Source organism: Homo sapiens, chromosome 2, assembly GCF_000001405.40.
Source record: "Homo sapiens chromosome 2, GRCh38.p14 Primary Assembly".
NCBI classification, from domain to species: domain Eukaryota; kingdom Metazoa; phylum Chordata; class Mammalia; order Primates; family Hominidae; genus Homo; species Homo sapiens.
The window spans coordinates 206,640,479-206,664,854 of record NC_000002.12 but is presented as its reverse complement, the minus strand read 5'-3'; the positions used below and the strand labels follow the sequence as shown (position 1 = coordinate 206,664,854).

The window sequence follows — 24,376 nt, the reverse complement described above, 5'->3', positions numbered from 1 at the left end:
TGAATGTCCTAATGCTCATCCATTTTATGATACTGGGTGAAAAAAATTCACGTTCATTAATGTCACTGCCAATGTAATTACAAAATTGCCTAAGAATTGGAAAGCTATCAAGCTCATAGTGGTAGGATGCAAGTTTTCCAAAATTCTAAGTTTTGACTGAAAGCCTGTTTTTTATGTATGTAAATATACATTTTAGACAGGGTCTTGCTCTGTCATCCAGGCTGGAGTACAGTGGCAGGATCATAACTCACTGCAGCCTCGAACTCCTGGGGCTCAAGCAATCCTCCCGCCTCAACCTCGTGGCTAGCTAGGATCTCAGGCTCATGCCAGCACACCCAGCTAATTTTTATTTTTATTTTTTGTAGGGAGGGGGTCTCACTATGTTGTCCAGACTGGTCTTGAACTCCTGGCCTCAAGCAATCCTCCCACCTCTACCTCCCGAAGTGCTGGGATTACAGACATGAGCCACTGCGCCCGGCCTTAACTGTTATAACTGACAGCAAATACTGTTAATTGTTCTCCTTGCAGTGACATTCTCGCTTTGTTCATTTTTGAGAAACTGTTTGACAAATACCCAAGTCTGAATAACCATAGTCTGTCAGTCTTTCTTTGACACAAGAGGCAACCCTTTCATATTTCAGTACACATCAGAAGTGTCTTATGCACACTTCCCACTTCATCACACATAATATTTAAAAGACATGTGTTCATATTTTTAAAACTAAGAACTATTTCTATTCCATCAAAGGTGTTCTTAAGCAGAACTGGCTTTTTTTTTTTTCCACTGCTAGTGTATGAGGGTGAAGAATACCCTGATTATTAGCACTGTTTGGTGATGCTGCCTTGATTCACACTAAAGCACCAACAGCTTTACTTATTGATTTTGCATCATCAGTGCACATGTCAATACAATAAACAAATAACATCTAAGTATCCTTATGAACATAATTTTGACATCACAAACCCTAGAAGGGTCTTGGGGATCTCCTAGGGTCTGTGGGCCACACAATGAGAACTGTGCTTCAAGCGGAGCACATCCCTGGATTTTCTCCCTGTGGCTTACTGTGAAACCCTTCACAACACACCTACCAGAAAGACTATTATAAAATGCTTTATTGTGATAATTTTTATCTGTCAATTCAACATATGCTTATGTTTTCAGAAATTCCTTATGGTATTTTTAGAACTTGGGCTTTTTAGAACCCAGAATTTTCCTAAATTTCTTGTAATTATTCCCTCTGTTATTTTAGAATCTGAGCTGTTCCAGCTCTTGTAGAGAGTTTTAGGTTGACATAGAATTAGCAGAATAAATTAAAATTAATAGTAATGATAATATATTTACAGAGGAGAAAGAAAAGTCTTGCATTAGAATGTTCTGTTGGAATGTTGAAATGTAATGCATTTATGAAAAAGTAAGATAAACATTAATTTCTTCATAAATAAAGTTTTGTTTCCCCAGGCAAGGTTGCAGCCACCCGGTCCTTCATCTTCTTCCTTTCAAAATGTGGGGAACAAGGTTGACCATTCTTCAACTGAAAAGGTTCCAAAGGGAGGGGATTATTTGCAGATCAAGAATGCCACTGAAGATGCTTCAACAGGGGAACCTCTTCCTAAGCTTGATGAGGTTGACAGAAGTCACAGAAGTCACACAAATGCAGAGCATGCTCTGCGAAATCCAGAATCACCAGAGACCACTTTGCACAGCACCAGGGCACAAAGCCAAACACAAAAGATGCCACAGAAAGTCATTAGTGCCCTACCCAGTTATCAGGAGGGACTGAAGCAGGACATCCCCAAAATGGTTCCTGCTGAAATGAGCAGTCCTGCTCTGGCAGCCGTGGAAAAGAAAGAGGCAGGTAACATCAAGGAGAGAAAGGATGAGCTGGAGGAAGAGGAACTGCAAGAACTATTGTCAAAACTTATGGATGCCTTCAATCTAGAAACGCCATCAGGTAAGGTTTTCACAATCCATAGACATCGTGATGGCCAAGGATTCAAGCTGCCTTTTTAAAAACTTGATTTTATAACAGCCCAACAGCTCCAGTTCATCTAGTATGTAGCAGTGCTCTGAATCTATTGGTTATCAGTAGCATCTCTGAACTTGATTTTTAGGATTACCTAATTCACAGGTCTGTTGTGAGTATTAAAGGTGATAAACCATGTAAGACTTTAGTATAGAACCTGGCATATAGTGAGCATTCAGTAAATGCTTTATTATTTTGTTATTGCAAAATATTGTTATTATTATCAGTATCCCTAAATCATATATAACTGGGCAGCCTATGTCACCATTTAAAAATGGTGATAATATTGTAACTCTCTTTCTAGAAGAGAATTGATTGCAGTTTCTATGTTATAAGTAGTATTATCATTATTATCTTCTGCATAAGCTATGATTCATTGCTAAATTCTGAAGGCTTTAGATAAGATCCTTCTTTACTGTAGTTACTGCTTCTGTTTTGGAGTGCCATTGTCTTATTTCTCATTAGGGTATTTTGTTATCTTTACATATGTAGAGAGAGATCCTTCTCAGTTTACAATGGGGTTACATCTGATAAATGCAATGTAAGTTGAAAATATTGTTAGGTAGAAAATGCATTCAGTATACCTAACCTACCAAACATTATAGCTTAACCGACCTACCTTAAATGTGCTCAGAACACTTACATTAGCCTATAATTGGGCAAAATCATCAAACACAAAGCCTACTTTATAATAAAGTGTTGAATATATCATGTAAGTCATTAAATATAATACACTGTGGAGTAGACTACTGATCATTTACCCTTGTGATTATGTGGCTGACTGGGAGCTGTGGCTCACTGCTGCTGCCCTACTTCACAAGATACCACATATTGCTAGCCTGGGAAATGAACAAAATTCAAAATTTGAAGTATTATTTCCTACTAAACACATATCACTTTTGCACCATCATAAAATTTAAAAAATAGTAAGTCAATCCATCATAAGTCAGGAACTATTTATAGACACACATACACAGTTGATTCTTGAACAATGCAGGGATTAGGGGTGCTGGCCCCCTGCACAGTTGAAAATTCGCATGTAACTTTACTCCCCAAAACTTTATTAATAGCCTACTGTTGACTGGAAGCCTTACCAATGAACATAAACGGTTGATTAACACACACTTTGCATGTCATATGTATTATATACTGCTATAATAAAGCTCGAAAAAAGAAAATGTTTTCAAAATCATAGAAAGATAAATATATTTAAGTGGAAGTGGATCTTTATAAAGGTCTTCATCCTCATTATTTTCATGTTGAGTAGGCTGAGGAGAAGAAGAGGGAGGAGGAGGGGTTGGTCTTGCCGTCCCAGGAGTATCAGAGGCAGAAGAAAATTCACATATAAGTGGACTTGAACCCATACAGTTCAAACCTGTATTGTTCAAGGGTCAACTATATATAAATTTCTTTCTAAGAAAGCTTAAGTTGTCTTATGTTGGAGTGATCATCTACAGACTTGTGATAAAATGAAGGATAAAATACTCATGTGTTTTTGCATCAGAGGAGGCCTTCTCAAAATATTTCTGAGTTGGCGTATTAGTTTGCTGGGGCTGCTATAACACAGTAACACAGATTCAGTGGCTTAAACGAAGAACCAAAATATATTTTCTCACAGTCCTGGAGGCCAGAAGTCCAAGATCAGGGTGTCAGCAGTGTTGGTTTCTTCTGAGACTTCTCTCCTGGGCTTGCAAATGGCTGTCTTCCCTCATGCCTTTATATGGCCTTCCTTCTATGTATGTCTATGTCTATGTCCAAATTTTTTCTTTTTATAAGGACACCAGTTATATTGGATTAGGGCTCATCCTAGCGACCTCATTTTAACTTAATTATCTCTTTAAAGACCCTGTCTCCAAATACAGTCACATTCTGAGGCACTAGGGGTTAGTCAGGCCTTCAATATATAAATTTGGGGTAGGAGGGGGGCACATTTCAGCCCATAAGTGTTGGAGGGCTATAAACCGAGTACATAATAATGTCAGCTTTGCATAGAACTTGGTAGAACCAAGTCAATAAACTAATTATTCGGCGATTCTAAAATACTCTACAGTAAATTGAGTTGGAGTTATAATCTTTGTATTAACAAAAACAAGTTCAGAAAGATGCCAGAAGTATGCTCAAAAGGCAAGGGATGGGAACTGCTTGTGCTGATTCTTAAGCTGACGCAAAATTCCACCCACTGCATTTCCATCTAAACATTTTTGGGGTCATGATGAGTATTCAAAGCGAAGTCAATATCCACTTGACCTTTTTAGGAAAATTTCACCAAAAGTTTGGACTTTATAGAAAAGTTTTTTAGTCTTTAGCGTATTCATGTTGTTTTTATTTTTTATTTTTGTTTCTCTAAATGAGCTGGAGAAAGCTGATAATTTCTAAAATATTGTGTTGGGTCAGCCCTCACAGATGTAGTAGCTTTATTGCACATTTTAGATTGTTTGTAGGCTAGGTCTACTACACATATTTGGAAGGCAGTATCCCAATACTTGTGCAGTTTAATACTTAAAGCTAAAAGATTCATTCATAGTTCAAGGGACCTTATCAAGATATAAATATACATGCATCACTATATCATTAAAAGGAAAATTATAAAAAGGTGAAGTATACTTCTAAATTCAGTTGATGCAATAATGTATAAATATACAATTAGCATTATCAAATCTTGTAGAAAATATTTTTAAAAGTCTCAAAATATTTACTTAATGCTTTCACTCACAATCTCAATAGAACCATTGAGAAGTTTCTGCAGGAAGTATGCCTTATTATATAAATGTGCTTATGATATGAGCAGAATGGTACACATCTTTTTTTCTTTGCAAGAAAAAAAGTACACATCTTTATACTTTGCAAGTATAGAAAACATAAAATTTCTTGAATAGTAATACAACAAATACTAATTGTTGAGATTTAAAATTTCACTTTCCCTTCTTTTATATTAGTCTTATTTCCTTAAGGCATTTAAACATGAGAAACTATATTAATCTTCATGGCTACCGTTTTGCATTATATATCACTCCTCACCCAATTATTTCTAATTATGTTTATATCGTTATTCAATTTGATATTGAATATGATCCTATTTTCAAACTTCACTTAGCCATTGGCAATTTGGATTACTAAAATACGCTTTATAATTTAAACATAATCTATGCATACTTACTAAAAGTATACCAAACTTAATCAGAGCCAGAACTATGATAACCACATGGATGAAGATGTGGAAAGTGAAACAAGCAAAATCAAAGTATTTTCGTTTGCCTCTATCTCTATCATGGATGCATCAGATAATAGCAAGAAGTTTCTAATCACCCTACCGATCCAGTTTTTTTTTTTTTTTTTTTTTTTTTTTGAGAATTGTTGGGCCCGGCGTGGTGGCTCATGCCTGTAATCCCAGCACTTTGGGAGACCGAGGCGGGCAGATCACGAGGTCAGGAGATCGATACCATCCTGGCTAACACGGTGAAACCCCGTTTCTACTAAAAAATACAAAAAAAATTAGCCGGGCGTGGTGGCTGGAGCCTGTAGTCCCAGCTACTCGGGAGCCTGAGGCAGGAGAATGGCTTGAACCCAGGAGGCGGAGCTTGCAGTGAGCTGAGATCGCGCCCGTGCACTCCAACCTGGGCGACAGGGTGAGACTCCGTCTCAAAAAAAAAAAAAAAAAAAAAAAAAGAGACTGTGAGAACTTAACGGAAAAGAGAAAACTGTGTAGAAGTTCCACAAACCTCTTTAAATTCCAAACTTGGATTGAAAATCAGTAGTGAATAATTTGCATAAAAATTGCAGTAAAAAATAAATTTGGAAAAGTGTCAGCTGTTCCTTGCCTCTGCTGTGGCAAAAAAAAAAAAAAAAGTCCTCTTGTTTTACTGTATTATTCAACTATTTTTTTCCATTTGATAGTAAAATTTCTTGCATATGTCTACTAAGTTATTTTTCTAGCTTCTTTTTCCATCCTTTTTAACTATTCATTTGCCACTATAGGTTTCACTGATGAGAAGTCAAGACAGAGGAGTAGAGTGATGATATTAGGAGGGCATGGTTTGAGAACAAAGATGGTATCTTGGACTAGCATGAAAACACTTATCATAGCTTTTCCAAAAGGCTCAATGCAAAGCAAACAGGAAAATAAAACCCATATCCCAGCTTCTCACTTTGCAGGGGGAAACAATTGGACCATTCATCCAACTTTCTAACTCTTCTGGGGGCTGTCCAAGGGACTGGGCTTCTGTCTAACCTGTCTCAAATTACTGACAAAACCCATCATATTCTAGATGCCTGAGAGATGCTTAAAAACAAAAGGCAGCTGGGACTAGTATGAACGTTTGAACAGCCCCCGAGAATCTCTGACCAGGCTGATTGCTAAGGGTCTTCTGTATGAGGCCAGTCTTGAAGACTAAGAGAGATAGTTATTTTTTCTATTGCACAGATACTAAAATAAAGAGTAAAGAAGAAGAAGTAATAGAGAAACATAGTCCAACAAAGAAGTAAGAGCTCCAAAATGGACCCTTATGAAATAGTAATATTTGAATTACCTGACAGAGAATTGAAAATAACCATCATAAAAATGCTCAGTGAGCCAGGAGAACAATACATGAACGAAATGAGAATTTCAACAAAGAGATAGAGAAATTTTTAAAAGAACCAAACAATAGTCTTGGAGCTGAAGAATGTAATAATTGAACTAAAAATTTCAATAGAAGTGTTCAACAGCAGACTAGATCAAGCAGAAAAATCAGCAAACCCAAAGACAGATCATTTGAAATTATCTGACAAGAAGGGAAAAAAGAAGAAAGAGTGATGAACGTTTAAGGGACGCATGGGATGCTATTAAGCTGACCAATATTTGTAATATGGGAGTTGTAGAAGCAGAGGAGAAAGAAAGGGTCAGAAAGCTTATTCAAATAAACAAGGGCAAAAATTTCTCAAATTTGGGAAAGAAAATGGACGTCCAGATCCAAGAATCCTAACAGACCCTGAGTTAGATGAACTGAAAGACTTCAACACTGAGACACATTATAACCAAATTGTCAAAAGTCAAACACAAAAGAGAATTTTGAAAGCAGCAAGAGAAAAGTGACTTATCATGTAGAAAGAAACCCTTATAAGATTATAACAGTTTTTGCATCAGAAATCTCACAGAAATGGGATAATATATTCAAAGTGCTGAAAGAAGAAATAAACTATCAATCAAAAATACTATATCCAACAACTCATTAGTAAAGGTAAATATATACAGGCAAATACAAAATACTATAAAATGAAAATAGTGGTATTTAAATAATTTTAATTTTAATATGAAAGTTAAAAGACTCAAGTATTAAAAACAACATTAAAATATGTTAATGAATATACAATACAAAAATAAGTAAATTGTGATGTCAGTAACAAAATGTGGGCTGGATGTGGTGGCTCACATCTGTAATCCCAGCACTTTGAGAGGCTGAGTCAGGGAACTGATTGAAGCTAGTAGTTTCAACAAGCAGTTACTAGCTTGAAGCTGGTAGTATGCCTGAGCAACATAGTGAGACCACATCTTTACCAAAAAATTTTTGTAAAGATGTGTGGTGTGGTGACGCATGCCTATAGTCATATCTACTCAGGAAGCTGAGGAGGGAGGGTCACTTGAGCCTTGGTGTTTGAGGTTACAGTGAGCTAATCACACCACTGCACTCCATTCTGGGCAAGACAACAAGATCCCATCTCTAAAATGAAAACAACAATGAAACAATGAACAAAATAAAAATAAACAAACCAAAAAGAAAAGTGTATGGGGATGGCTGGGCGAGATGGCTCACGACTATAATCCCAGCACTTTGGGAAGCCGAGGTGGGCGGATCACCTGAGATTGGGAGTTCAAGACCAGCCTGACCAACATGTAGAAACCCCATCTCTACTAAAACTACAAAATTAGCCGGACGTGGTGGCATGCACCTTTAATCCCAGTTACTTAGGAGGCTGAGGCAGGAGAATCACTTGAACCCGGGAGGCAGAGGTTGCGGTGAACCAAGATCATGCCATTGCACTCCAGCCTGGGCAAAAAGAGTGAAACTCCGTCTCAAAAAAAAAAAAAAAGACTATTTAGAAAAGTGTATGGGAACTAAAAGTGAAAACTTTTTGAATGCAATTGAAGTGAAGTTATTATCAGCCAAAATAGGCTGTTATTACTATAAGATTTTTATATAAGCCTCATAGTAAGTGCAAATATAATAGCTGTCAAAGATGCACAAAAGAAAAAAACGAAATAATATTTTTTTAAAAAGACAGCAAACTAGAAGAAGAGGGGCAATACAACTAAAAGACAGACAGAAAACAACTCTCAAAATGGCAAAATTGTCCTCCCCTATCAATAATTATTAAATATAAATGGATTAAAGCCTCCAATCAAAAGATATACATACAGTTGCTGAATGGATTGAAGAAAAAGACCCAACTATATGCTGTCTACAAAAGACTCACTTCAGATTTAAGGACACAAAGGCTGAAAATGAAGGTATGGAAAAAGATATTTTATGTTAATGGTATTCAAAAATAGCAGGGGTGGCTATAGTTATATGAGACAAAATAGACTTTAAGTCAAAAACTCACACAAGTGACAAAGAAGTCATTATAAAATGATAAAAGGGTCAATTTACCCAGAAGATACTATAATTATTATAATATATACACCAAACATCAGAGCACCTAAATATATAAAGCAATTATTGACAAAACTGAAGGGAGAAATAGACAGTGATAGAATAATAGTAGGGGACTTCAATAAACCACTTTCAATAATGATTAGAACCTCCAGACAGAAAATCAATAAGGAAATAGTAGACTTGAAAACAGTAAACCAAATAGGCCTGAGAGACATATAAAGACTATTTCACCCAATAGTGCAGAATATACATTCTTCTCCAGCAAACATGGAACATTTTCTGGGATAGATCATATGTTAATGCACAAAACAAGTCTTAACAAATTTAAGAACATTGAAATCATGCCAAATATCTTTTCCAACCACAGTGAAATAAAACTAGAAATTAATAGCAGAAGGAAAACTAAAAAATGTATAGAGATGTTAAACTACACAACACATTCTTGAACAACCAGTGGGTCAAGGAAGAAATCAATGACCAGGCGTGGTGGCTTATGCCTATAATCCTAGTGCTTTGGGAGGCTGAGGTGGGAGGACCAATTGAGGCCAAGAGTTTGAGACCAGCCTGAGCAACTTGTCAAGACCCTATCTCTACAAAAAAAAAAAAAAAAATTTTTTTTTAATTAGCTGGATGTGTTGGTACGTGCCTGCAGTCCCAGCTACTCAAGAGACTGAAGCAGGAGGATGGCCTGAGCCTGGAAGATCAAGGCTTCGGTGAGCTGTGATTGCACCACTGCACTCCAGCCTGGGTGACAGAGCAAGACCCTATCTCAAAGAAAAAGAAAATTTAGCTGGGCATGGTGACACATGCCTATAATCCTAGCTACTCAAGAGACTGAGACAAGAGAATCATTTGAGCCCAGGAGTTCAAAGTTACAGTGAACTATGATCACATCACTGTGCTCCAGCCTGGGCAACAGAGCAAGACTCTGTCTCAAAAAAAAAAAAAAAATCACACAATCATCACAATAGATATAGGAAAAAAGCATTTTACAGAATTCAATACACTCTCATGAGAAACTCTCAACAAACTAGGAATAGAAAGAAATTATCTCCACATAATAAAGTCCAAATAAGAAAAACCCACAGCTAACATCATATTCCTTTTTCTTAAAGGTGAAAAGCTGAAGTTTTTTTCTTTAAGATCAGGAACAAAGCAAGGATGCTTATTTTCACTACATCTATTCAACATAGTACTGGAAGTCCTAGCCAGAGTAATTAGACAAGAAAAGGAAAGAAGAGGCATCCCAATCAGAAAGGAACAAGTAAAAAGATCTCTATTTGCATATGCCATGATCTTATATGTACGAGAGCATGGTTAAGGGTGGGGAGCAGGAGGTTTATTCCTGTTCCTTTTTTCCCCATCTAGAACCATCACTCAAAAGTATCAAGTAATCAGAAAATAAAACTTCAAATTTAGCAAATTCTAAGGAAATGACCAAGCTCAGGAGAGCACCTTATTTGTATTTCATTTGTTTATAAGGTAATCTCAAATGTTGCCTGGGAGTCCTAGAAGTGTTTACTGGAATAGTAATGGATACAGAGTTGACCCTTGAGCAATGTAAAAGTTAGGGGCACTGACCCTCCATGCTGCCAAAAATCAGCATATAACTTTTGACTCCTCTAAAACTTAACTACCAATAGCCTACTGTTGAACAGAAGCCTTACCAGTAAAATAAACAGTTGATCGACAAATATTTTGTATGTTATTTGTATCATATATTGCATTCTTACAAAAAAGTAAGCTAGAAAAAAGAAAATGTTATTAAGGGAATCATAAGGAAAAGAAAATATATTTACTATTCATTAACTGGAAGTAGATCATCATAAAGATCTTCATCCTCATCATCTTCACGTTGAGTAGGCTGAAAATAAGGAGTCAGAGGAGGGGTTGCTCTTGCTTTCTCAGGTATGGCAGAGGTAGAAGAAAATCCATGAATTAGTTGGCTCACACAGTTCAAATTCATGTTGTCCGAGGATTCACTATATTCATTGCTTCATAGATAGATAGAGATACAGATATACACAGAAGTAATTAATGGGAAAAGATATATTTCCAGCATTTAAGCTCCATGAAGGCAGAAAAAAAGTGTAGTTGGCTCATCATTCAATCGCTAATTCATTCATTCAACAAATATTAATCAAGCATTTGTTGTGTGCCAAGCACTGTGCTTGCACTGGGCATTTATTTTGAAGTGGGGTATGTTTCTATTTTTAAAACATTCTGGCATTGTGTGGAGAGTGACTTAGAGAAAGGCAAGGGGTGAGCAAAGAGACCAGGTAAAAGCCTACTGCAGTCTAGCCAAGAGATGACGGTGTTGCCCTGTATGGATGGTGATGCACTTACTGCAATGGGGAAAGCTGGGAAAACTGTTATGCGGTTGGCAAATCAAGAGTTCTGTTTTGAATGTATTGTGAATTGCCTGAGAGACATCCAAATGAAGACATCACAGAGGCAATCAACATGTACAATCTGGAGCTCAAGGGAAAGGTCTTAGTACAGAGTAGCTATTCAATACATATTGGCTTGCTTAATTAATTATTGTAAATAAGATATGGGCTCAGTATTCCAGTTGCCCAGAAGAGTGAACATAGACTAAAAAACCTAATACTTTTTCATTTCTACATCTATCATTCTTGTAGTCTACTCTCACATCCCTGATTTATTCGAAGACTAGATAGACTTTTAATTACATTTAAGTGAATTATTTTGTCATTGTGATTTTCTCTGGACTGCCAATTTCACAAGTGTTCCATCTAACATCTCATTAGGTCTCTGCCTATGTGCTATATTAATTCAGTCCTTACATTTATTTAGTTCCAAATATATGCCAAGCAACATGCTAGGTGTTAGGTGCATATTTTTGGCTATTTTTAATATTTCAAGAGACTAAAGCTGAAAAAGAAAACAATGAATAACAATAAGAAAAATTACAGTATGTGAGATTGATTATGGCTTTCCTATTTATTTATTGCTATATTTTAAGTTTTTATCACTGTGGCCTGAGAAACGATGTCTTAAAATAAGTTTGCCTCTGGACAAGGTTTGTTAGTCAGACAATAAAATATTATTTAGTCAAGGTCCTCTGGAGCGGTATTGGAGTGATAAGTGGGATAAAAAATGCATGAACCCTCTAGCCTTATGTTCAACAAAAAACAGCACAGATGGACCCACAATATAAATTATGTAGCTATAAAGTAAACAACTAACATAATAAATCTCCCCATGTTTTCATTTCCTGTGATCTTATTTTTATTAATTACACAAATAATGTAATACTGTATGTTTATTGTAAATTAAAATGCAAAGTGCACAGATTTTTTAAAAAATGAATTCATCATCATGCTCTTCACTCTCTCCCACCTGTTTTTCAGAGATAACCACTATTAACAGCTTAGTGAGTTTCCTTCAAACCATTTTCTATGCACATATGTATGTCTTTACTTTTTCAACATAAGTTAGATCATACTATGCTTTTGCTTTCTTCACTTGTTCAATATCTTAGACATTGAGCAATGTCATTTTTAAAATGCTGCATAATATCTCAGGGTACAAATGCACTATAATTTATTTATTGGTATATAATTAAGTTGCTTCCAATTTTTATCACAAAAATACTTTGGTGTGTATCCTTATAATATATATCTTTATGCACAAATGTAAATATGTTTATAAGATCAATTCCTAAAAACAGAACTCTTTAAGTTAAAGATTATGCATATCAAAATTTTAGTTGATACCTGCCAAATTGTAGATCTTTCTATACCACAATTCCTATTATGACAGATCATAGGGGACACTCAAACCATTAATCAGGTAACTATAGAGCACTGGTTCTCAAAAATGTGGTGTCTGGACTAGCCGCATCAGTATCACCTGGGAACTTAACAATAAATATAAATGCTCAGGCTCCGTCCCACCTGAACAGAATCTGAACTCTGTAGGTGTGGTCCAGAAATCTGTTTTCACAATCTCCAGGTGATTTTTATATACAACAGAATTTTGGAGCCACTGCTCAATAGTGGGCTTTCTGGCTACTCCGATTTGTGCAAGGAGCCGTGGGAAAGTGCTTCTTAAGAACCTATGCCTGACTGAATTCGTAGTAATGATCGTGGTAAATAATAGCCATCTTATTTGCTGGCTAACTTAAGGACATTGTCCTTGAGAACTGAAGAAAAATGGATTCTGTTTCTTCTCCATGTGAGAGCTTTATCAATATCTTCATGAGAAGCTACCGGTATGTTTCTCTAAATGACTCTCTTGTTTGTTGATTTCAGGCCCGGAGTCTTCAGTAAACATGGACCTGTACAGTGGAGCTCAGCGAGTGTGCAGGGCCTTCTCTGCCCTTGTTGATCAAATTGCCTTGCCCAATTTGAAGTGAAATGGAGTCCAGGCTCAAAGGCCTCTTGGTGTGATGACAAAATGCAGTTGCACAACTGTATTAAAAGAATTAAGACTTCTACCTTTCTTTTAATAGTTTAGTGTGAACTATGAAGAAAACAGGTTTTGTTTTTTGATCTCCCTCCCTACTTATGTATCTTAGTTCTGCAGTTCAGAGTGAAGGTTGGGGGTTAGCAGGGCGAGTAGAGGATGAAGAAGGAAGGAAGATATGGCAGAGTCAGATCTCTGCATGAAGGGCCATCCTTATTGTGAATACCTCCGGAGTAACATTCAAGTGTGTGACCTACATAGATGCATGCAACTGTCTTCCTCAAGTATCATGTAAATTACTGAATTGATGGCCTAATTTTCTATCTTGATGCTTCTGCTGGAGAATAGGCTTAGCAAAGAACTAACTACATACATACACACACACACACACACACAATTGAGTGCATGTAAAACTGGTAACATCTGAATAAATTTGGATTATACCACTGTCAGTTTCCTAGTTGTAATATTGTACCATAGTTATGCAAGATGTTCCCATTGGGGAAACTAGATGAAGGGCATACAGACGTCTCTGTATTATTTCTTATAACTGTATATGAATCAAGTATCTCAAAATAAAAAATTTAATATATGAATGTTTGTCGCTAAAATCTCCACATCCAACAAGTTTCACTAAAGCATCAGTGTGCCTCCTTTCTCTGTTATGTTGGATTAGGTTATAGATGCTTAACTTACTAATGCCCAAAGTAATAGCTAACCTTTTTTGACTGTTAGAGCACTTAGTTTTTAAGCACTTTCTATGTGCTGACTCATTTAATCCTCACAAGAAACCTAGGTAGTACGTTTCTCATTTTATGAGGAAACTGAGGCACAAAGAGGTTTAGTAACTTGTCCAAAGTTGATTTGGCCACTTCTTGATGAAGCTGGGATTTGAACTCAGCTTCTGAGCCTATACTGTAACTACTACTCTGTACTTCCTTTCAATAAACATTGTGGTGATTTCAATGTTTTTGTCTATTATCTTGAGATGCAGGCCATGTTACATTCAGAAAGGCTGTGGATTTTTATATGATCTGTAATTCCTAGAACTGTTTACAGAGTGAAATAATGTCTCATTGGATGGGATTAGGACTAGGTTATCCCTGTTCCGTCTCATCCTAATAGTTTTTAATCTGCTTTTCAGCCTATCATAAACTGTTGGTTTTAGTTTTGTTGCTTAGCATAGTTACTCTTCTTTTCACTTCATCCCAGTTTGTTCCTTACACTTTTGGTAAGCTTCATCAGCAAGCTGCAGTCCCTGGGCCAAATTCGGCTTGCTCCCTGTTTTGAACAGGCTATGAGCTAAGTGTGGTTATTATATCTTTTTAAAAAATTGAAAAAGTCCAAAGAAAAATATTCTGTGGCACCTGAAAAGTGTATGGACTCTGATTTCAGTGTCCATAAACAGAGTTTTATTGGAACACAACCATATTCACTCAGTTATGTATTGTGATAACTGCTTTTGTTCCGCCGAGGCCGAATTGATTAGTTACAGCAGAGACTGGATGGCCCAGAAAGCCTATAATATTTACTATCAGACTCTACAGAAAAAGATTGCCAATCCCCGTTGTGGAGTACCAAGGTGAGGGAAGAACAAAGGGCAGGCTCTTCTGCAAGCTCATTCTCCAAGTGTAGTTTCTCTTTGATGATTTATAAGAGATAGTGAATTTACGTGATAGTTTTGAAGAATATGATGAAAAACGTTAGAAAAAGCACCATCAATGCAAAATCATGAGCCTGTATGTTGAAAAAGTAGTCAAAGGGTGGCAACTTTTTAATAAAATACTAATTTTCCCAAGGAGCCAAAAGCTGAGGCTGGGCCTTCTCCCCCACCTCTTTCCCCAAGCTTCCTTTTCTTGTTGTGAAGACTCAACTAATCCTCAAATGAAACTGTTTTCTGATAATAACCCTTTAGATGCAATTTCTAGTTTAAGGAGGGCCCTAATCCTTCAATGAAAAGATTTACTGAGGCTTCCTTTGGACCTGAAAAAAGCAAGGGAATTGCTAACATATCTGAAATTCAAACTGGCTGTCAATCCTACATATTGGTTATAATAGAATGATTGGAGAGTTGGGAATAATTAGAGATAAAAATAGCATTGTGTCTCTAACTCAAATACATTTGCTAATTGGACTTCTCTGCTATAAACCTTGTTCGGGCCTGGTCATTTTTCAGGAAAATAATTATTTATGGGTTCTTCTCTTATAATGCTGTTCGCTTTATTTTGTTTTTCAATGCAAAGTGTAACCACTTATAGAGTTATAATATTTAATCAAATAACAAATATGCTTATTGGGAAATAATTTGTACCTATTTACACTTAAACATTATTTTATTAGAGTTTGGATGTCATTAGTGATAACATTAAATATTGAAATAAAGAGACTCCAATAACATTACCTGGGGTCCAGAGCTTTTATTAATTTTGTTTTCATTAGAAGAATGCTTTATTTGCCAGTTTTTTGTTTTGTTTTACTTTTTGCTTCATTCAGTATTCAAAAATATGCTGTCAAACAAGATTCAGATATCATAGATTGTCAGTAACTAGTAATTCCAAAATGTAGTCCCTTATGTGCCTGTGCATAAGCAATCCAGTGGTTGAAGTCTTGGAAGCCATGCAGTGTATTCAAGTTAAATGTATGGCACACTAGTTTATTAACATGTCAAGCATCCCAAAATGAACTATTAAATGAATACAAAGAATCCTCAAGTCATCTCTGGAAGTTATTTAACTCCTTTAGACTGTGGGATAGACTGGCAGTAATGTCACCATTAGAAGAAACATGCTAGCAGCCTAAAATAAATAAATAAATAATAGAAGGCAGCTTTAAATTAGTATACTGAGAGAATTTGGGTTCATATTTATCTCTGGGCATTCCCACCATTTAAAATAAATAAATAATCAATAGTTAAGAAAAATGTTATATATATGTATATTTAATTCCAAGGCATGAATTAGCTCCGAGTTCAATTTATTTTCTCTTTATTTCCAGGTTCACTTTTCCAATGACACTAGACCCACTCCTACGCACATGCATGCTTATCAAATCTTCAATCAACTCTTTCTTCTTTAGGAAGGAGGTCCTTAGGAGCTGAGAATATGTACCTGAAAGTAGAAAAGCGGAACTTCATAAGATCACCAAATTAGTTTCAGGTTAATTAAATATCAATAAATTATCTTTAAAAGGCAGGTTTGATGTTTCTGCCACTCCAATATCAAAATTCTCTATAAATTGATTTCAGAGGAATATATGTAAGTGTGTATTTGTGCAAAGTCTTGTGTCCTATGCAGTTTAGTTATATAATCTAAAACAAATACATTATAATAAGTACATTTTTGTCAATTAATAGGCATTAAAATATTTGCCTGATTTTAAAGTGAAAAATAGTCATTATATATTTTTATATAGAAATATGAAGAAAAAAATGTAAACCACTCAAAATGTAACCTCCTAGAGATAACCATAGTTTTGTGTATGCACACTTTATACTATAACTTATTTAACCACTACCCTATCGTGGGACATTTAGATTGTTTCCAGGTTTCCTGTTACTATACATAATATTGCAATGAATAGCTTTGGATTGCATCATTGGCTGCAGCTCTAAATGTTTCTTAACAGTAGATTTCTAGGTGGGTAATTGCTGAGTATGTGGCTTAGAAAATTTCTTGGAGTGGGTGAAGTAGAAAATCAAGCATTTGAGAACCTATTTATGTTTCTGAACCATTGTTTTCTCTTGTGGTTAGTGTTTAAAATATAAGCACTATGAGCATTGGCCAGCTAGTGAGACACCAGCTGCAAACACCATCAGATTATAAATCTAAATTTTAATTTTCTCATCGCAGAGGAAAACAAAGACTCACTATTTTTCTAGAACATACAAAATGCCAGGCTCAGGAAGGCAGGCTTTTTGTCCCTCCCAGTGGCAGAGCAAGGTTTGTTGAAGGAGGAGGCCACCATTTTTGACACAAAGAAGAATGTACTTCAAAATTTCTTCATTTGCATTGAAGCCTTTACTAACCCATGAGTTACTCTCAATTCTGTTATTTTCTATTTGGGAGTCATCAGTATGCTCTTTCCCTAACACACACTCTCTCTGTGTGTGTGTGTGTGTGTGTGTGTGTGTGTGTGTCTGTGTGTCTCTCTCACCCTTTCTCTCTTTCTCCCTTAACATAACCCATCAAAATTTAGTGGTTAACTAGTTAACTCTGGGTACATCCTCTTCATACCTTCTCTTGGATACTTCAACCTTCAGCTATTAGCCCATGCCTTTCTAGACTAAATAACAATGATCTTTAGAGGCTTTTCTCATAATGACATCTCTAGCCCTTTTATTTCTGAACCTCGTCTGTTCCTGCTAATCACTGTTACAAACAGCCATGGTGTCCAGGTCATCATCCAGCTCAGTCAACGGTCCTTGGGGTGAAGCTCTTCCAGGTTCTTCTCATAGTTAAATAAGTGCCTTTCATACGTTTCTTTTTTTTATAGAATCACAGTACATTGGAACAGAAAAGATGAGACTTTGTGTGTCATCTACTTTCCATACATTTCTTTTTCAGTTGAAAGAACTGATGGCTAAATTAGTTAACTTGCTCACGGTTACGCAGTTATTTGATATTTTTTTGTTTTCATATTTGTTGACTCAGTATTAACAAATATGATATATTAACATGCAAAATTACATAGGAGTTTTATGTTTTTAACAAAGTATGATTCATAGTAAGATTTATCAACTGCATTTACACTATTTGATCTGAAGACATCAAAATAACAAGAACTTTTTGCATATTACGTAGACACTTATTTTAGTTCTTCTTGTCTTCTGACTTGATGATGTGATTTCCTTGAGAACTATGGAGACAAGCACTGCTTCACCTTCACTCCCGTCCCAACCTAACAACATATTATCCCCGAGGGACAAAAGAAAAAAAATATTGGAGGATCCATGCAGGTACATTCAGAGCCCAGTTGAACCTCTAGAGATTTAATCAAGCCTCTTGAGATGAAATCTCAATGTTCCTGTAACTATTTAACTGTTGGACATGGTATTTCCTTGACCCAAGACCCTCTTTGACTGTGGTTATACAAACCAAATGGAAAGTCTTGTTTCTTGGTCTGCAAACAATTTTTTGTGTCAAACATTAAAATAATCTCAATAAAGTGAAACACTCACTCCTGCTATTTGGCTACTTGCATACCAACTCCCTAAAGTTTGCAGACCAGCTGAATCACCAACAACTCCGTAGCAAGACGAAGGAAGTGACTTCCAAAGCTGAAGCTGTCTCGGAGAAAAGCTTTATAAAATAAGTATATATATAACTTTTTGTGTTCAGCTGAATAGAAATAATATTTTCATTTATTTAGTAGACATTTCTTTGAGTTATTCAAAGTAAGTGCAAGATAGAAAAAGATATTGCTGGTGATTTGAGTAAGACAGCTAAATATGATTTTTTTTTTTTTTTAAGATAGAGTCTTGCTCTGTCACCCAGTCTGGAGTGCAGTGGTGCGATCTCGGCTCACTGCAAGCTCCGCCTCCCGGGTTCACGCCATTCTCCTGCCTCAGCCTCCCGAGTAGCTGGGACTACAGGTGCCCGCCACCACATCCGGCTAATTTTTTTGTATTTTTAGTAGAGACGGGGTTTCACCGTGTTAGCCAGGATGGTCTCGATCTCCTCACCTCGTGTTCCGCCTGCCTTGGCCTCCCAAAGTGCTGGGATTACAGGCGTGAGCCACCATGCCTGGCCAATATGATTTTTAAAGTATGGAAGAAAAGGCCCTACAGACCATCCTCAGCAGTATAGAATAAAAAAAAAAACCATGGTCTGTACTGGTGCTGATGCCTGGGCAGCCTCTGTTCAAAATATTTTAAAAATATGGGTAACCAACATTTAAAAATATTCATTTGGTATTTCTACTTTAGTAGCAAGGCTGCTGAAAGAATATTTCCTCTAAAAATGAAATTGGTTTGAGTTACAATAACACTTACCAAAATAATAAACTTATCTGTAAATAATAGCCATGAATTATCTGGGTTTTTTGGATTAGCAAATCATGAGGATTTTTAATTACTAAGGTTAAAACAAACTAGATATATAAAAGCTCTAAAATATCTTGGGAAAGGGTAGCACTAGAACTACCACTGTTAATTGCTATTTTAATATGGAGGTTACAGGAATATGTAACAATTCTAACACTAAAATGTACAAATGTAAAAATTAGTTATGCCCCTGTTTTCTACTGTTGTATATATAATTCTAAAGAGTTACTGGCACTCAAACAGCCCTTGATAAAAGGTTTCAATGCTCATTGGTTGAAATGACATCAAAAAAAGATAACAATAATATGTATAGGGTTCAGGCATCTCTCTGCTTACTCACAGAGGCTTACTCAACCTCATTCTAATTCTATAAGGGACTTTTTTTCTGTACCCTCAGACGAGACTATTTGAATATAGTATTTACTTCAATGAAAAACTCTAAATTTGTAGCAAGTTCCAACTTACTAAAAATTAATTACTCAGATTGCTGCAAGTTAATTACTTACTTGAGATTCATTCAAAAAGCAACATGAAGTGAATCTACATGCCAGCTGACTTTTTTACTCTTTATTTCTTCAACTGAATACCTCTCAAAGAGCCTCTCTATTTACATGAAAGCAATATTTATTTTCAGTTTAACAAGGGCAAGAATTTGTGTGCTGCAAATGTTTCCTAAGCTTATATTCAAGTCTTCTCAATTCCACGGCAAGTAAACATCAGGTTATGACTGCCAGTGTTCAGGCTAATAGTAAAAAATAATGTTGATCTTGGGGGATCTGTTTATACTTTTATGCTGTATTTTGGGAATCATGCTTTTTGTCTTTTCTTTCTGACTCTTCCTTGCTGCTGTTCACAGGAAGTATGAGGATGAGGACAATATGTTGATATAAACAGCTACTATGCAATGCAAAAAGAAGTACTATCTATCTTCCTATCAGTTATGTGCTCTTGGGGTTCACCTCTTGAGAGGAATATATATGACACTGGATTCCCCTAATGCCATTTCCCTCTTCCTCACAATTCAGCACATTCATACTTGATTGACCCTTTCAAAAGACATGGGAGCTGGGGTTGACCACCTTGTTTACTCCTTGTGTGCTGTGGCTGCGCTGCTGAGATTTTCTCTTCCTCTCCAACCAATTGCCTCCTTCCTAAGCCATGGTTCCTAGAGAGCACACAGTCCACATAGATGTCCCAGAAGAGTTGGGCCAGATCCCAAAACAGTGCTCCATGCTTCAAGTTCTCAGATGACTTCAGGTAGATCATAAAATCCCAGAAGCCTGAAACAGTGTTGGAAACGCGAGGTTTCCACATTTCCAGGAGAAGCACTGAGGAGGATTCCCAGCACTGAGGATCAGCTTGGCTAAGAGCCAGCAAGTCTGTCTGGCTATGGCAGAAGAAAGGAGATACACAGCACATTCCCACAATGAGCAGGGAGCAGGTGAAGCTCAAGGGGCGGTGGATCCCTCCTCTGTTCCCAGGATCAGCCATGGCCCTAAAACTGCACAGGATGGAAATATTTCTTATCAGTCCCCGCTTGTGCTCTGCTCAGTAAAGAAAATAAGTATGCCCTTAATAACCTTACTTCCAGCAAAGGAAACACATCATTGTCACAAAGTAGGGAAATCTTAGCCAAGCTCCCATATCACAAGCTCCGTTCTATCTAAAATGACTCATTGCCAGGCCAGGGAGTGAACATAAATCCAAGACGGTCAGGCCAAGACATATTCCCTCCTAAGATGTGTTCCTTTACAAGATGAATAAATTAATCTGCTAATCTGTTTTTCTCTGGTACAGAAGAATGTAGCCTAACAGCATACTAAGTGAACATTTAAAATTTTGCTGCATGGCTTTAACTATTCCATAATATCTTAGCGAAACCTGGCTCTCCTAATCTAGGACTTATATATAATTAAGAATTTAAATATATTTAACCTTTAGATCCATTCCTGTTCACTGTGACTTTTAATTTTTTTAAAAAATACATCAGAATTGTCAAATGTTATAGTAAAATTAACAAAAGACAATGTGCTAAAAGTATGGATGAATATATGTGGAAACAAAGAGACATATATTCAACCAATTAGAGTAGAATCAATAAGCATTTTACAAATACCAATAATGTTCTGCAATTCTGATATAACTTTCATAAAGATAATGTTTTATAATCTCTCTGTTCTTGCTATGAATCTCAAGGATTTTTTTTTTAAAAAACGTGACTCTCATTCAACTTTTCTGGCTTTCAATGTCTGTTGCCATAAAATTGAGTCATCTACATACCACTTTGAAATTGTTCTTTTGTTACCACTTCGGACAGGTGCAATGATAAACGATGCTCTTGAAATAATAATAACCCAAATGTTCACTTTTTTTGCCAGAAAAAGTGTATATATTCCTTCACAGACTATACAAAATGTGTATCACATTTAAACAGCTCTAACATAAAGAAAAAATAGGAAGGGCACATACAGCTCACTTTCAGGTTTGTATTATATTTCCAAACCTTTTAGATGTTAGTATCATGAAAGCAAGCAAAATACAGCTTGTGGGAATACTCTTATATTGGAATATTTAATGATAACACCATAAGTTGGATAATCTGTCTCTTCTGAACAGCAGTAGGACATGTTTAGGTACTGTTAAATAAATATTTCAGAAAGTGTCTTTGAACATGCATGTTCCTATATTGAAGAAGCATGTTAGAGATACAAGATTATTCAAAAACTATTTCCTCTATCTTTCATATCATGTATGCATTATCTCTACTTGAAATCATATTTGTTGTGTCCCTTTCCGAACTAAAATATCGAGGTACCTCAAAGGGTGGTTTTCCTAAAGGACAAGTCTAAGCTAAGTTTTCAGAGGGCAGGACTCTGTCCAAGGTACTGAAGTTGGCGTTATCCGGGACTCCCTGTCTGCTGGCGCCACGGCGCTCAAATTGGCTCCTTTAGGTCCCCTTCTAAATTTTAGGAGAGGCTTCCCAGACCCTGGAAAGGTGTTTCTCTGAGTTCCTTGAACCTAGAGTCCTCCGTGCACCCCGCTACGAGCCCCGCGCTGAGTCTCGGCCCCGCACTTGATTGCGCAGCCTCACCCTCCGCAGGGCGGAGCTGCCAGGGACCCACTCTGTCCTTTGGGCCCCACTCACCTCCTGACTCGGCGGCTCTACTCCCAGATGGCACAAGGGCTTCCCTCCGCACTCACCCGCCTGGCCCCTTCCGGGTTCCCTCGAACGCGTGGAGAGAGTTCCCTCGAGTACGCGGAGAGGAAACGCTCAGGCTGCTCCCGAGCGAGTGGCTGTCCCCAGCTTCCGCGTCCTGGAGGCTACCGTGCCTCTACTTAAGCAGTGGGAGTGCTCGGCGCCTCTCCAAGTCTACGTCAAAGCTCCTGGAAACTGCCGCCACCTCTCGCCTCCAAGTCCGTCTCCCGCACCCTCCTCTTCTCTCCCTCCCCGGAGAATTTCGGTTCAGGAAACCAGCGGGCTTGGCCACACACACTCTCATTGGCCTTGACCCGCACCCACTCTGCACCTGCCGGAATTGAGCCTCTAATGCGGCTGGGCTTCCCGCTCCCACCTCGCGGGTGCGTGCCGATGCGGCGGGAACTGCAAAGTTAGGGCCCAGCTCCGCGCTGGTCCAGGGGACAGCAGGGGTTCCCGCTCACCACACGGGCCTCGTCCGAGAATAAAGGGGTGTGAGGGAAGACTGTGGACTCTTGGGGTCGGAGGAGGGACATGAGCTGCCTCTCGACACTCAGCAAGGGCTCAGAGGAAATAAGGCGCCTCCTCGAGATATTCCAGGTGTGAATTTCTCCTGCCTGTAGCCCTGGGCCGAAAGGAGAAAAACACCCCCGAGGGCAGAGATGAGGATAGGGACTTCGCCCTGCTGGAAGCTCCCCCTGACTGTTGCCAGGACACCCCGTTGTTTCCAGACCCTGGCCTGGGTCACTCAGGAGACTGGGTTGCTGCTGGCATCGCTTTGGTCAGCACCTCAACCCCCCAACAACCCCGCTCCAGATTTCACAGCAGGGTCCCAGCTTTCCAAGAAAAAAAAAGCGCCTGGGATTCCCTTTGATTCTCACCTCACAGCTACTTACTATCCCAGTCCCAGATTAGAGCCCTGTCACTGCTCCAGTGCTCCTCTGAGCATAAGTGCCCATCTTAACTGAAACACACCCAGCCAAGGGGCCTGAGGCAAAGGTCTTCCCTCTGCAAGTGTTTCCACGTTTTGCCCCTTTCCTGAAAATTCCTTCAGCCCCTGAAAACCACTTGTAGTCTCCACTAACTGAAGGCTTTTGTGCCAGCTCAATAGTATCCATGGTTACCTTCCGAGGGGCACAAGGCTTTGTAGTAAGATTTGCCGAAGCCACAGAGAACCAGCCCCTTCCCCAAGGTACCATTAAATAGGAGGTCTGAAGAGGAGTTCTGGGGGGCTCTGAGCTATTCCTCCTGCTCAGAAATGATGGAGTGTACTTCAGTTTCTCCATGTGTGAGCTGTATCTAATGTCTGCTTCTATTCACCCCATAGGGCTGTGGAAAAAGATCAAGGGTGAAGTCTTGGACTTGCTTCCTGAACTTTGAGGAGCTCATGCCTTTGGAGAAAACATACTTCAGGACATCATCCAGGAGAAGTTCCCCAACCTAACAAGATAGGGCAACATTTAAATTCAGGAAATCCAGACAACTCCAGTAAGATACTCCATGACAAGATCAACCCCAAGACACATAATCGTCAGATCGAGAAAGCATTTGGAGGTGACTCGTGAATGTCTGGAAAAACGAGTTGTACAGGTATCCTAAAGCCAAAGGGTCAGGAGTGCAGTTTCAGGGGTAGAAGACAGTACAAGCAAAGGCAGGAAGGGAGTGCTCATCGCAGTTCATGCTTCTAGGGAGCGAAGTCAAAGAAAGGACTGTAGAGAGGGAAGGCCGAACAGAACAGAGGTAAAGATGTGTCCCCTGGTTTGGGACGTGTCAATAGTTACATTACTGTTGAAAACATTCATATATAAACATGCAGTGCTTACTTTATTTTCAAGTGCCTATGTGTTAGGCACTATTTTACATGCTGTGTATACAGAAGGAACAAAACAAAGTCCTTGTACGCATGTAGCTTACATGCTAGTTGAGTCTGGAGTGATGGAAAAAAATTATTTATATTTTAATTTTAAAATTATATCTATACACATATATAGTGTATATGTATACGTGTGCACACACATAATATATGATTTATGCTTCTAGTTTCTATGTTGAA

The 24,376-nt window shown here is 37.8% G+C and overlaps 2 protein-coding genes across 2 annotated transcripts in view, besides 2 other annotated features; one reads left to right on the top strand and one right to left on the bottom strand.

Moving 5' to 3' along the window:
• DYTN (dystrotelin) overlaps positions 1-13,234 on the top strand; it is a 66,776-nt gene extending 53,542 nt beyond the window's left edge. The window contains exons 11-12 of the mRNA NM_001093730.1: positions 1,460-1,952; positions 12,934-13,234. Coding sequence (NP_001087199.1) covers positions 1,460-1,952; positions 12,934-13,037 — 597 coding nt within the window. The 3' untranslated portion in view covers positions 13,038-13,234. The remainder of the gene's footprint in view (positions 1-1,459; positions 1,953-12,933) is intronic.
• A 2,255-nt stretch (positions 13,235-15,489) lies between these two features.
• On the bottom strand, positions 15,490-22,368 carry FAM237A (family with sequence similarity 237 member A). Its single transcript, NM_001102659.3, has 3 exons — positions 22,273-22,368; positions 20,207-20,628; positions 15,490-16,194 (listed from the first exon to the last, which is right to left on the bottom strand). Exons 2-3 carry the CDS (start codon positions 20,616-20,618, stop codon positions 16,061-16,063), a joined length of 546 nt encoding a protein of 181 aa, NP_001096129.1. The 5' UTR covers positions 20,619-20,628; positions 22,273-22,368; the 3' UTR covers positions 15,490-16,060.
• Positions 22,017-22,596: an enhancer, noted in NCBI's record as "H3K4me1 hESC enhancer chr2:207506983-207507562 (GRCh37/hg19 assembly coordinates)". NCBI's record gives its function as "activates a minimal SCP1, AML or CMV promoter by ChIP-STARR-seq in naive H9 embryonic stem cells {active_cell/tissue: H9 hESC(naive)}" and the evidence as "EXISTENCE:reporter gene assay evidence [ECO:0000049][PMID:30033119]".
• Positions 22,597-23,178: an enhancer, noted in NCBI's record as "H3K4me1 hESC enhancer chr2:207506401-207506982 (GRCh37/hg19 assembly coordinates)". NCBI's record gives its function as "activates a minimal SCP1, AML or CMV promoter by ChIP-STARR-seq in naive H9 embryonic stem cells {active_cell/tissue: H9 hESC(naive)}" and the evidence as "EXISTENCE:reporter gene assay evidence [ECO:0000049][PMID:30033119]".